A 12675-nucleotide genomic window follows, 5' to 3' on the forward strand; every position below is an offset into this window, starting at 1 on the left:
AGCTGAGAGGAAGCCAACAGGTTGCATAGCCATGCAGCCCTCTCCTTGACTCCAGACCCATGCCCAGGAGGGGACATGGAGCAGCACCCCAGGCAGCTGGCAATGAACCAGATGCATCTCTTTCTTTTTTCTTTTTCTTTTCTGTTTTTTGTTTTGTTTTGTTTTGTTTTTCTTTTTTCTTTTTTTTCTTTTTTTTTTTTTTTTTTTTTTTGAGACGGAGTCTTGCTCTGTAGCCAGGCTGGAGTGCAGTGGCACAATTTTGGCTCACTGCAAACTCTGCCTCCTGGGTTCAAGTGATTCTCCTGTCTCAGCCTCCGAAGTAGCTGGATTACAAGTACGCGCCACCACATCCAGCTAATTTTTGTATTTTTAGTAGAGACAGGGTTTCACCATGTTGTCCAGGATGGTCTCGCTCCTGACCTCATGATCCACTCACGTTGACCTCCCCAGGTGCTAGGATTACAGGCATGAGCTGCCACACCCTGCAGAATCTCTTTCTTACATAACAATTTTTCCTTTTATTTCAATCTATTCACTATATTTTTCTACAACCTGTTGCTGCCTTCTGCTGTGCCAGACAATGATGCCCATGGTTATTTGGCACTACTAGTAAAGGAACTAAAAGTGGATTTTCAGTACTGAATATAAATTATATAAATGAATACAAAATCAAAAGCAATCAGCCTGAGCCAAAAGACAGGCATCTTTTAGTCATTACCATTAAAAAAAAATCAAGAAAGAGATGGGAGAGTGAGTGGAGAGGAGAAAGCTACAAAAAGCACTGGATGAGAAATGAAAAATAACAAACGCAGTCAAATAATAATAACAACAGAAATCAAAGAAATTGAAACACTGTTTCTTAAAAGTTTAGTTTATAAAATTCAAATCTGCATAATTCTACTTTTACCTTAAAAACTGAAAAAGTCTCGGAAGCATTATGGTCTCATTTAAAAATAAGTGTATCAATAGCCATTACTGCAGATTTACGGCAGTGGAAGTTTGAAAACAGATCAATCAAGGCAGCTCAGAATACAATAATAGGTTGGATACAAACACCTACTCATACTATAACACTGTCTGCAGCATGTGGAAGTATTCATGGTTTAATTTTTCCCCAAAGTCTAACGTATATTTCTGTACAATGTGTATATATATAGAAATATGTCATTCATCCAAATTACTCCACAATTGATGTTCTATTTTCATCTATGCTTAAATAAAACAGTGCCCACTGAATACCAAGCAAAAACTAAGATTTAAAATGGTGCCAGGCATAACACAGTGCCTGTAGTTTATAACCTGTAAAGGATGAAATGTATTATAACCGCAATAGACTAAATTATCTGCTACCTCTTATTATTGCCTACCTTGCGCAAGCACCATGTGGGCATTTTTCACCTCCCAGCCAACTAAGTAAATGTGGCTGGTGGTAACTCCAATACAGATGTGAACACAAAAGCGTGGAACCTGATGCTTATGGTCTAGATGAAGTAGGGTACTGAGCAAGTTATCCATGGACCTCTGTAAACAATCCTACCTTCTCATTTCTGGACTGTGGCTATCAAACGATTCCTTTGGTCCTTCCTCAGAAGCTAGTATCAGAGTGATGAGAAAATGAAATATAAATTAGCCCACACTATTACGCTAAATTTCAACGTGATACAAGAAAAGAATGTGCTTAATATTATCCCCAAAGATAGGTTTGAATCAAATAACACAGCCTAAGATTTGACACATGAAAAGTTTACTAATAATTATATTAGCTGACAATAATGTAAAGCTTGCAATGGAACCCTCTTAAACTACGCTAAAAGCCATGAAAACTAATATATATGTTTGAGTGTTCGAAATTACTATTATAAAAAGTATTGCTTAAAGTTTTCATCTGCTTGTAATGTTTTCAATAAGCCACTGGCTGTTATTTTACTTAACTTGTGATACGTGAAACGAAAAAACTGAGGTTTCAAATAAAGTCTACTTTCTCACATAAAATGTGTAGGTCAGTCAGAAAAGAAAAATGTCAATAATAATTCTGAATGCTTACTTTGTAATATTTCAGTAGGTAACAACTGAGAAACACATGTAGATGTAACAATAGTTAAGTTCTCTGATTACGTTTAGGTACTGATGGAAAAATTATAGTTTTCATATATTTGTTGCATAATGCTTTCAAATAATAAGCTGAAGAATAGTTTCTTGCAATGATATGCTGGTTTCTTATAATAGTTTCTTAATAGCGTCTCTTGCTCAACAAGCAGGTAACTCAAAGACCACAGGGAAAACTACTACAGTTGTCCCATACTGGCCTGGCATAGCCCCTCTATTAGACATTCTGAATCCTAATTTTTTAAGGTAGTATATGTTCTATCACCTTGGAAAAGCCCTTTCATGTCATATGTAAAACTACAGTACTTAGCTGTCCTAATAAAAAGTTGTTGGAAAATAATTAGTGAATTATTACAGATTTTTATACTATAATTCTTTTTATATAAAATCCCTTAAATACATATATGTAAATTGTAAATGAGATGTAATATATAATAGTACTCCAAATCATTCAGACACAATCATATAATCTTACTGTCAGGACCTGCAAGTTCATTTAGTACTATGTTCTACATATGTGCCTAAATCTTTTACTGGCAGACTGTGAATTTCCTCCTGAAACAGATCATTCCATTTTTAAAAATGCCAAATACTTCAACTTACCTGTCATATCTCTCCCAAGTCTTCTCTCAGCTAAACTAAATATTCATATTTATTTTAACTACCCATCATATAACAAAATTCCAAGAACTTTGTGCCATCATGCTTATCTCCTGGTAAGTGTGCTGCTTTATAGGATGACATTTCTTTTAAAATATCCAGCAGAAGTTGAACACAATATCCAAACACAATCTATGATCTGATTAAAATGGGCTGTACTGGCATGATCATTATCTTTCTTGATTCAAAGGCTAGATTACTTTTAGTGCATCTTAAGACCAATTCAGCTTTATTTTATTATATTCACATGGATATATTTACATGGCTTTTTTTTTTTTTTTTTTTTTGACAGTATCTCACTCTGTTGCCCAGGCTGGAGTACAGTGGGGTGATCTCAGCTCACTGCAGCCTCCTCCTCCCGGGTTCAAGCAATTCTCCTGCCTCAGCCTCCTGAGTAGCTGGGACTACAGGCGTGCACCACCACGCCCAGCTAATTTTTGTATTTTTAGTAGAGACGGGATTTCACCATGTTGGCCAGGATGGTCTCGATCTCCTCACCTCGTGATCCGCCTGCCTCAGCCTCCCAAAGTGCTGGGATTACAGGCGTGAGCCACTGAGCCCGGCCCCTACATGGCTTTTAAATACAGCACATTTGTCGGTGGAGTTTTCTTACAAGACTAGTGCCTTTGGTCTTGGCTTCAACTATGATATATACCATCACGGGAACCTCTTGAAGTATTTTAATATCGAACCAAGAAAATGATGACATGTATGAAAATATAATCCATTTTTCATATCTAGTAATACGATGAAATATTTAAACATCATTTCCCAAATTAAAAAAATATACAAAATTAAACTGTCAAAAGGAAATTAACTTGTAAAAAATATATATATTGCCTACTGTATTTGAAAGCAGAGTGCTTCTCTGATAGATTCGGTTAAAAGATAATAAAAAATTTTAAAACGTTCAAAATTTCAATTTGTTTAAATTCTAAAGGCATACTCCTACCTGATTTTTTTGTGTAATTCTGCTGGGACATTTCATATAATAGCATCTTCCTACTGATACCTTATGTTTATTATAAAACATATGAAACAAAAATGAAGACTAAAGAGCTTTTTCTGATTTTTTTCAAGCTACATGTTAGAGAAAAAAGTAAGATATTGGAAAATACAAAAGGTAAGGTTTTAGACCTTTCATTGTATGCAACAAGCTGAAAAAAATCCAGTATGATGGGAAATATGTGGTCTACACATTGTTTTACAGGTCTTACATTTTTTCACATGTTCCAAAAAGCTGAAAATAAAGTCCCCAGCCATTTACTTCATTTGAATTATTTCCCAGCAAAGTCATTTCAAACTGTGGGGTCGAATTTGTTGAGCTTCAACCATCATCCTTTCTATTTTTTCCCATAATCTCCTCTTCCCCTTTTAAATCCTCACTTATTCCACCCATTTCTTCTTCCTTCATGTACACAGAATATTAGCAAGCAGCAAAGCCCAGATGATGGATTTGGCTATTAAATTTAAAAAAAATCTAAAGCAACCGTACTAATGAGCAGTCAATAACATATTTTCAACTAAATAAAATTGAACTAGGCACTGTTCTATATTAAAAAATATTGCCTAAAGCAAACTTTCATGATAGAAATGCTGCAATCTCCACATCAGTACAGATTTTAATGCCACAATTATATTAGAGAAAGCATTATTCACATAAGTCACATTAAGACAGAATTAAATCACAGTGATTAATTTGCTTGTGGGTTAAAGCTGAATTCAAAAATCTATAAAACTAAATATGTGGAAATGATAGAAGGAAATCTCAGTCATTGGGGCGAAGGTTTTTTCTCTAATTAGCTTCAATGAATCATTAAATTTCTTTGTACAAGCAATTGAAAAAATATACAGCTATTTTAAAACTAACCAGAGAAGAGAAGCATTAAAACAAAGACATTTGGCTTCATATATTATATTTCCTTTTAAAGTATATATTCATAGTTAAATTTGATAACCTCTATTTAAAATATTTGAAAAAAATTATCAATAAAATATAAAATAAGAAACATAAAGTAATAAAATGTATTTGGCTTATGGAGGAACAGGAAGTCTAACAGAGGTCTCGAACATTAAATACTGGGTGATTGTTAAAATTCAGATACCGTTTATTAAAGCTACATCCAAAAGTACATACATAATTCTAAGATGGTGACTGCAATTAAGGAATTTATATTATTACTGTCATCAACCTTTCATTTTATTTTTCCTACACTTGTATTTTAACAGGTTTAATCAATTTAACTCATAATCAAAAGTCTATGGCATAGATAGATAATTGATGATTGATATAAACATAAATAGATAGGTAGATACACACACACATACATAGAAAGTTTTGTTACAAAAGCCATATGTGCTCACTCGCTGCTCTTTTGAGAACAGACTATACAGGGGACAAAGGTGGAAGCACCGGCCAGTTAGTTGGTATTAGAAAAATCCAGGGAAGACATGATGGTGATGTGGACCAGGTGATAGAAGGTGAATGAAGGTGGTGAGAATCGGAGGTAGAGCCAAAAGGATTCAGCAGAGGTTTAAATGTGGGAGATTTTGTCTTAAGCAACTGAAAGGTAGTGTTTCCGTTAATTTCAATGGGAAAAAAATGTGTGTAAAACAGGTTTTTAGGAGATGATTGGAAGTTTGGTTTTGGACAACTTCACTGGACATGAGTAGGCAGTTGGAGGGGAGAGTCTATAGTTCAGGGAATCAAGTTCAAGAGAAGTATGAACACTGGGTGGTGTTGGTTTAAAGTAATGAGACTGCAGGATATCATGAAAGAATGGAATACAGACAGAAAAGGGACGAGGCACAAGGACTGAACTCTAAAATACCACCAAATTTAAAATATTATCTTATTCAAATTGCTTTCAAGAAATGTGCTACCAATTTACACACCTCCCAGAATCATACAATAATGCCAGTCACCAACCTTTGCTAAGATTGGGCATCATCTTTGACCATTTACCATATTAAAAATGTTTCTATGTCTTTTTGTTTGTTTGTTTTTTTAAGTTTTAACTCTTTGTTCCAAGGGAAAATAAGCCTTTTTTATGCTTATTAGTAATTTGCATTCTGTCTTCCATAAATTACTTATGTCCTCAGATCGTTTTTCTCCCCAAGTATTCTAACTCTTCTTATTAATTAATAAATCACTTTACATATTAAGGTAATTAACCTTTCACTTGCAAAATTTGTTGCAAATGCTTTATGTCATTTTCATTTTCATAGTTTTCTAGTGTGAAAGATTTTACACTTTTTAGCAAAATCTATTTGTCAGTTACCTTGTTATATATTCCATTACTTTAATATGTACAAAGATAAATTAAATATATTCACATATTTTCTTCTAATAGTTTACAGTTTCTTGTTTTTTTGCATTTAATTCTCAGTTTTTCTGATATTTATGTTAGGTCATGAGTGAAGACCCTTATAAATATTTTCTTAGATTTTTAGTTCATTTTATAATGATATTAAGTAGTATGTCAATTCCATCTTTACAATTCATTCTTTAACTTATATTCAGTCCTTATTTATAGTGGAATCTAGTTCTGAGATATCTATTCCCTCTCTTTTCTTTAATTACTAATTCTTTTGTCTATGCTTCAAGTCTTTATTTATTATTGTATTGTATTATTGTATTGTATCTTTTTTTTTTTTTTTTTTTTTTTTTTTTGGAGACAGAGTCTGGCTCTGCGGCCCAGGCTGGAGTGCAGTGGTGCCATCTCAGCTCACTGCAAGCTCCGCCTCCCGGGTTCACACCATTCTCCTGCCTCAGCCTCTCGAGTAGCTGGGACTACAGGCGCCCGCCAGCACGCCCGGCTAATTTTTTTTATTTTTAGTAGAGACAGAGTTTCACAGTGTTAGCCAGGATGGTCTCAATCTCCTGACCTCGTGATCCGCCCACCTCGGCCTCCCAAAGTGCTGGGATTACAGGCGTGAGCCACCGCGCCCGGCCCTGTATTGTATCTTTATTATTGTATTTTAAAATTAAATATTTTTATATATTTTTTATATATATATATTATATATATAATTTATTTGTTAAATAGCTGAATGCCTAACAGGCATAGGAGTCTTCTGCTCTAGTTGTCAGGTTCTTTACAAAACCAGAGAGCTGAATGACAGTTTTTGTTTTCCTCTTGTTTAGTATAGCATATGGTGTGTAATCTAAGAATCATTTTTAAATTCAGTCTCTTTGATGATGCAATACTAGAAATCCCTACACCCCCTTTCTAAGCCCAGAATTTGGCAGATGTCTTTCCTTCCTTCTCTTTCCTTCAGTGCTGTTAACCTAGAACTTATGCATCTGGGTAGGGATTTTCTTAATAGACTGGGATAAATCAATACAGGCATAGAGTATGTTTCATATATGAACAAGGAAACTTTTATATTTGTCACAGTTATTTAAATATGCTTCTCCTATTAGTCAAAAACAACTTTAAGGATTCCTCACTCAATTAAAAGCTACATCCATGATTTTTTCTTATCCAAATGCTAATCAATTTTGATATCTTAAAATATCCCCTTAAAAAATCTTTTCATTGAAATTAAATTTTTATTTCACTTTTAATATTAGTCTCCCCATATTCGTTCTATTACTCCATTTTCCTTGGCTACTTTGCTAATCAGAAGTACCTTTCTTTAACTGCAAATGAACAAGGAAACAAAATATTATTTAAGGCAGTCCATGGTAGGTACCCAGAAATTTTTCCCTGCCACATGGCATGCACACTTTGAGACACACTGCATGCCAGTGCATCAGACCCTAACTCCATCTTGAATCAGACAGTTAAGCATGTCCTCAAGGGGAGGCTTGAAGACAATCTACTCGGCTCCATTCATGAATAACTCAGTATTCAAGAATATAGAGAGCAAGGACTCAAAACTCTGCCCTGTACTAGATTTGTGCCAGAGGCCCTGGCTCAGACTCTTTTCAAATACGTAAAAGGCCATTATTCCATCATTTACTGATTTTTATTAGTTACCATGTGGCTCTATTGCATTTTCTGGAAAGGAAAGCTTCTTGCTGAGATAGTGATTGACGAGGCCGGTGGTTGCCTCTTGATCTGTTTCATTTAATGTGGACTTCAACAGACACCCTGCTTTTGATGACTTAAATTCTGTTACTCTCACCTTCACTCCAAGGAAGATTCTGTTTCTTCTTTGGATACTCTCTCTACTAACCATATATTGGCTCAGATATACATTAATGAAATTCCATAGAAATGTAGCTTGCTTTCTCCCTTCTGTTTTCATGCGTACTACTTCAAGGGGCCATTTAACTGGAAAATTTATACTGTATCTTGTAAAATATTGAAAAGGGAGTAAATCTCACCCCCTTTCACAATTCCTCCACATAGCTGCCCCCAAGTATCTCACCTGCACTCCCTCTGAAGGCTTCTCTCCCTCAACTCCTAAGTTCCTCGTCCATTCCCTATGCCTCCACTCAACCTATTCCTAACAACACCTGCCCTGGCTTAAAACAACTTACTTACATGTTGCTTCATGAAATTCTCCTAACTAAACATCTACTTTGCTCATTTGCTTTTTCCCTTTGACATTGAAAGATGCTTTTTGAGCAGGTCTTAAAGAAAAACCGTAAGTCAACCTCACAAGGTTAAAAGAACAAAAAAAAAAATTGTGGGAAATGGCCAGGAAAGTATTATGCCATCTAATTATCACGTGTCAAAAATCAGTACCTAAAAAGAATAGTCTCCAATGATGTTTATAAAGTAAAATAGCTCAAGACTGGTTTCCTCTAAAACTCTGTGTACAAGCTTTATTTTTCATCTTCTGTATTTGATGTGAATCAGCTGGGTGTAGGAAGTGAGGATTTTTTAAAATTTGGTTTTATTTATTTTAAGGAGGATCTTGAGTTCTTCTTTGCCCCAAATATGAGATACATGAGAAAAATTAAAATCAGCTCCATGAAAAGGCAAGGAAGAGATTAGAGATACCAGATGATTGGAGAGGGAGATATCTATTTTATAGATGTGTGTAAGGTAAAGTGGAAAATAAAGACTTATAAGTTCTTTATAAAACATATGAGACAGGAGAAATTTAGGTGGAGGACAGCATAGAAGACACATACATTTTAAATTTATAGGCAGGAAGTCTCTTTCTAATTTTTAAATGAGCAAAAAAGGCAAAGGGAAAATCAAGAATAAATTCTAGCAGGAAAAATGGCAGCACTCTGAGTTTTAGAGGAATGCAACAAATTACTGTGAGAGGTAATAAGACTGTTTTGGGGAAATAGAATAATGAGTTATTTTCACGAACTGAATTTTCTAAATTGAATGTGATGACTGGTAATAATTGATGATTAATGGTTCAGTGCTTTGCACCTTCTAAGCACTTAATAAATATGACTGATTGACTGATATGTCACTTACAAATACAGAATAACAGTTACGAAGCAATTATACAAGCAATACGTGACTGGAAAAGCTTAATGCATCTGAAGATCCTACTAAAATAGAAACTAAATAATAACAATAATAACCCATACCTTTTCTGTATCAATGCCTTTTGACATGGACCATGTTGAGACAATATAATCCATGACTCGCTCACTAAGGCCTTTTGGGACCTGATAGAGTTTTAGGAAGTCCCGTACATTATTCAGCATCTCATGGTATCGGTTGGTGTTGGCATACATTTGCTGGAAAATTGTTGTAACATTTCCAAAAATAGTTGCATAAAGAAGAGCTGAAAGAGAAGAAATGATAAAAATAAAACAAATATCTCATGTGAAAAAAATACAAATATTTGCTAAATCAATGAATAATTTGACAGAGACATCCTTATAAACTTGCAGGGGTAAATACATGTTGAACTCTGAGAAGACTGCCTGACACCTGGTATTCACTCAGAAAACATTACCTGCAGTAGGAGAAACATGACTTTATGAGCATGCAGAGCTCTAGTCAACATGACAAAATGTAAGAGTCATCTTTTCTGAAGAATCAGATGATCCAAAGTTATAATTTTCTGAAGAATCAGATGATCCAAAGTTATAATTTAGCCTAAGAAATTCTATTTGTTAGTAGATTAAAGTTATCCTCCACTTTGTCCTCCTGAATGAAGCCTAATCAATTTAAATTCTTCAGGGATTGATGATCCAGTTTAGAAACATATGCTCTTTCTCACTGCCTGCTCCTTCCAATTTTTGGAATACCTCCCTGGTTATAAATATTTTTGACAGAACATCAGAAATTTAGGGAGTGGAGACAAATTAATGTGCTTCATGTTTAGAAGGTTCTGAAGATAAAGAGGTTTGGAGTTTTTAGCCAAAATAAAACTTTGGCAATGCCGAGAAATTCCAGTTATTAAATTCATGTAATTATTCCAGTGATTTTTTTTATTCCATCATTTTAATTAAATGTAAAGTTAGCCCACTGACAATTGTCATTCATCTACAGGGGACTACAGGTGGTATAGGGTATTTCAAAGCCCCAACTGCTCCCTCCTCCTCAATCCATAATTCACCAACTCTTCTTTCTCCAGACCTAGTCAGGCTATTAATGCTGACAGGATCCTACAAAAGCTTATTTAGGGTACAGTTCAGCCTAAACTGAACAAACTTCCAATCTTCAATAGCACACTACCCGCAACTTCCCTGCCCCTCTGGTTTCACTCTCTTGTTAACTGGAATCTTTTTTGAAAAGGGGGCAGTACTTTATTCACCTTAATGTTCAGTACACAGGCATTTCATAAGCATTTCACAAGTAAGTAGACTCACAGGCAACGATAATTTCCATCCTACATCCTCCAAGCATTTGAAAAATGACTGTAAACAAAATATAGACTGTTTCACTTTGCAGTTTCATCAGCCAAATCCCATTTGATGGAAGTGGTATAAAATCAAGCTAGTGAAGCAACTTAAGATCTTTAATATACTGCTTTTAGAAAATTATTTGTTTTCTTCAAGAAGAGCTGTTCTCCTCTGAGTATAACAAATTACAATTTCACAACAGAAAGCTATTATTTTAAAAAAATGGAGTCAGTTTTTCTGCTATTATTTGATGCCAGTGCAGGACAATTTTTTAAGACAGATTTTTAAGACAGATTTTGTTAGACCTGTGTAGGAGGAATACAGTGTTGACATTTCCCAAGTGAGTCTTTATACCTTTCAATATTCATATTTAAAAACAAAAAAATTATCATTTTGTCAGTCTTTCAACGTCCTGTGTGCATATATTTATTTTAATAGTTCAAAATAAATGTGTTTATCTTTAATGTATCAGTTTTCCATGTTGAAATGAAGAGGTTACTAGGATTCTGGTTATAGTATCCTGAGATCTTGATTCTATAAAGAATTATGAAGTTTATTAAAAGATATAGAGGTCTTTCCTAAAAAAAAAAAAAAAAACCTAAAGGTAATCACAGACTTAACATCTCTATTCCACCATTGTTGCTATTAAGAAAAACAAACAGAAATAAGGTTAACAAATTAATGATAGCAGAATCATCTAACAAATATGGAATTTTACATTTTCAGAAAAGAGAAATAAGAAAATTTTAAATTTTTAAAATAATGAGTATTTAGGGGTTAATGAAATAATGCTGCAATTACGATTTTTAGTAGTGCTCAGCTATCATAAATTGTCAATAAATGTCACAGAACTATCTATTATTTTGACATGTTTAACTTGTTTGGCTCTCTAAGATGCTTGCGATATGCTACATTTGCCAAATGTCTTATTACTGCCTTCTAGTTTAACAAATTACGACACATTTCATCTTTTAGGGTACATTAAATGTACACACAAAATATATTCTGCTCATATAAAAGTTTAAGATAAAATATGAAGAACCTGCTAATGTATTAAAAGTCTGCAGCACTAATAAGTGAAGAATTATCAACATCCCATTAAGTTTGGCCTATTATAAAAATATCCATTTTGTTCATTTTTCACTTTCATTATTTTATGAACACATAATACTTATACATATTTATGAGGTACAATGATATCTTGATATAAGCATATAATGTATAATGATCAAATCAGGGTAATTGGTTATCATTTCTTTGTGTTAGGAACATTCCAGTTCCACTCTTCCAGTTCTCATGCAATTTACAATCAATTATTATTACCCATAGTTGCCCTATTGTGCTACTGAACCTGGATCTTACTTGTATTTTTGTACCCATTAACCAACTGCTCTTTATCCCTCACTGCTTCTCATTTTCATGTGAATGTAGGGTCCCTACATCAGATAAGACTAAACAAGATAATAATTTAAAGTCAGAGATTCAATTGTATGTTTACATTTTTGTAATTTTATTTTGAAATAATTTTAGACTCAAAAGAAGTTGCAGAAATACTGCAGAAAGCTTGCATTGCCCACATGCAGCTTCTCGCAAGGATGACATCCTACACAATTATAGTAATATATCAAAACCAGGAAACTGATAATGGCACAGTACAATTAACCAAACTAGAGAGCTTTTTTTTTTTGGCCAGTTTTTCTTTTTTTCGTATGCACTTGTTTCTTCGGTGTATAGTTTTATAAAATTTTATCACATATATAGATTCATGTCATTTACATATATTTTTAAAAAGAGAAATCACTTCTTCCTTATGAATATCTTCAATCTTGAGTCTGGAATACATTTCAAAAGAGATAATGTGACAGCATGTATGATACTCCAGCAAGCAACAACAGCACTGCCTGAACAAATGGGCACATCTTTAATGAGAGAGGCCTTGGAGCATGACACACAATAATGAGGGAAACTGATCTCAGTAGAAGCTCCCTCTAAACTGCTAACTCTCAAAATAATACCTCCCTCCCATATTACAGACATACCTATCTTCTTGGATGTCTAATCATTATTTGGATCTAACACATCCGAAAAGAAACTCAGTCTATAGCACCCTCTCTCCAACAGCCAAATGCACTTTT

The 12675-nt window shown here is 34.1% G+C and overlaps 1 protein-coding gene across 3 annotated transcripts in view; it reads right to left on the bottom strand.

Moving 5' to 3' along the window:
- The window catches only part of KCNH5 (potassium voltage-gated channel subfamily H member 5), a 345995-nt gene that overhangs the window by 140915 nt on the left and 192405 nt on the right, over nt 1-12675 (bottom strand). For all 3 annotated transcript variants that reach the window (NM_172375.3, NM_139318.5, XM_047431275.1), the window contains exon 8: nt 9275-9474. In NM_172375.3, the coding sequence (NP_758963.1) occupies nt 9275-9474 (200 nt within the window). The remainder of the gene's footprint in view (nt 1-9274; nt 9475-12675) is intronic.

The sequence above is a fragment of the Homo sapiens genome, chromosome 14 (genome assembly GCF_000001405.40).
Source record: "Homo sapiens chromosome 14, GRCh38.p14 Primary Assembly".
In the NCBI taxonomy this organism is placed as follows: Eukaryota; Metazoa; Chordata; class Mammalia; order Primates; family Hominidae; genus Homo; species Homo sapiens.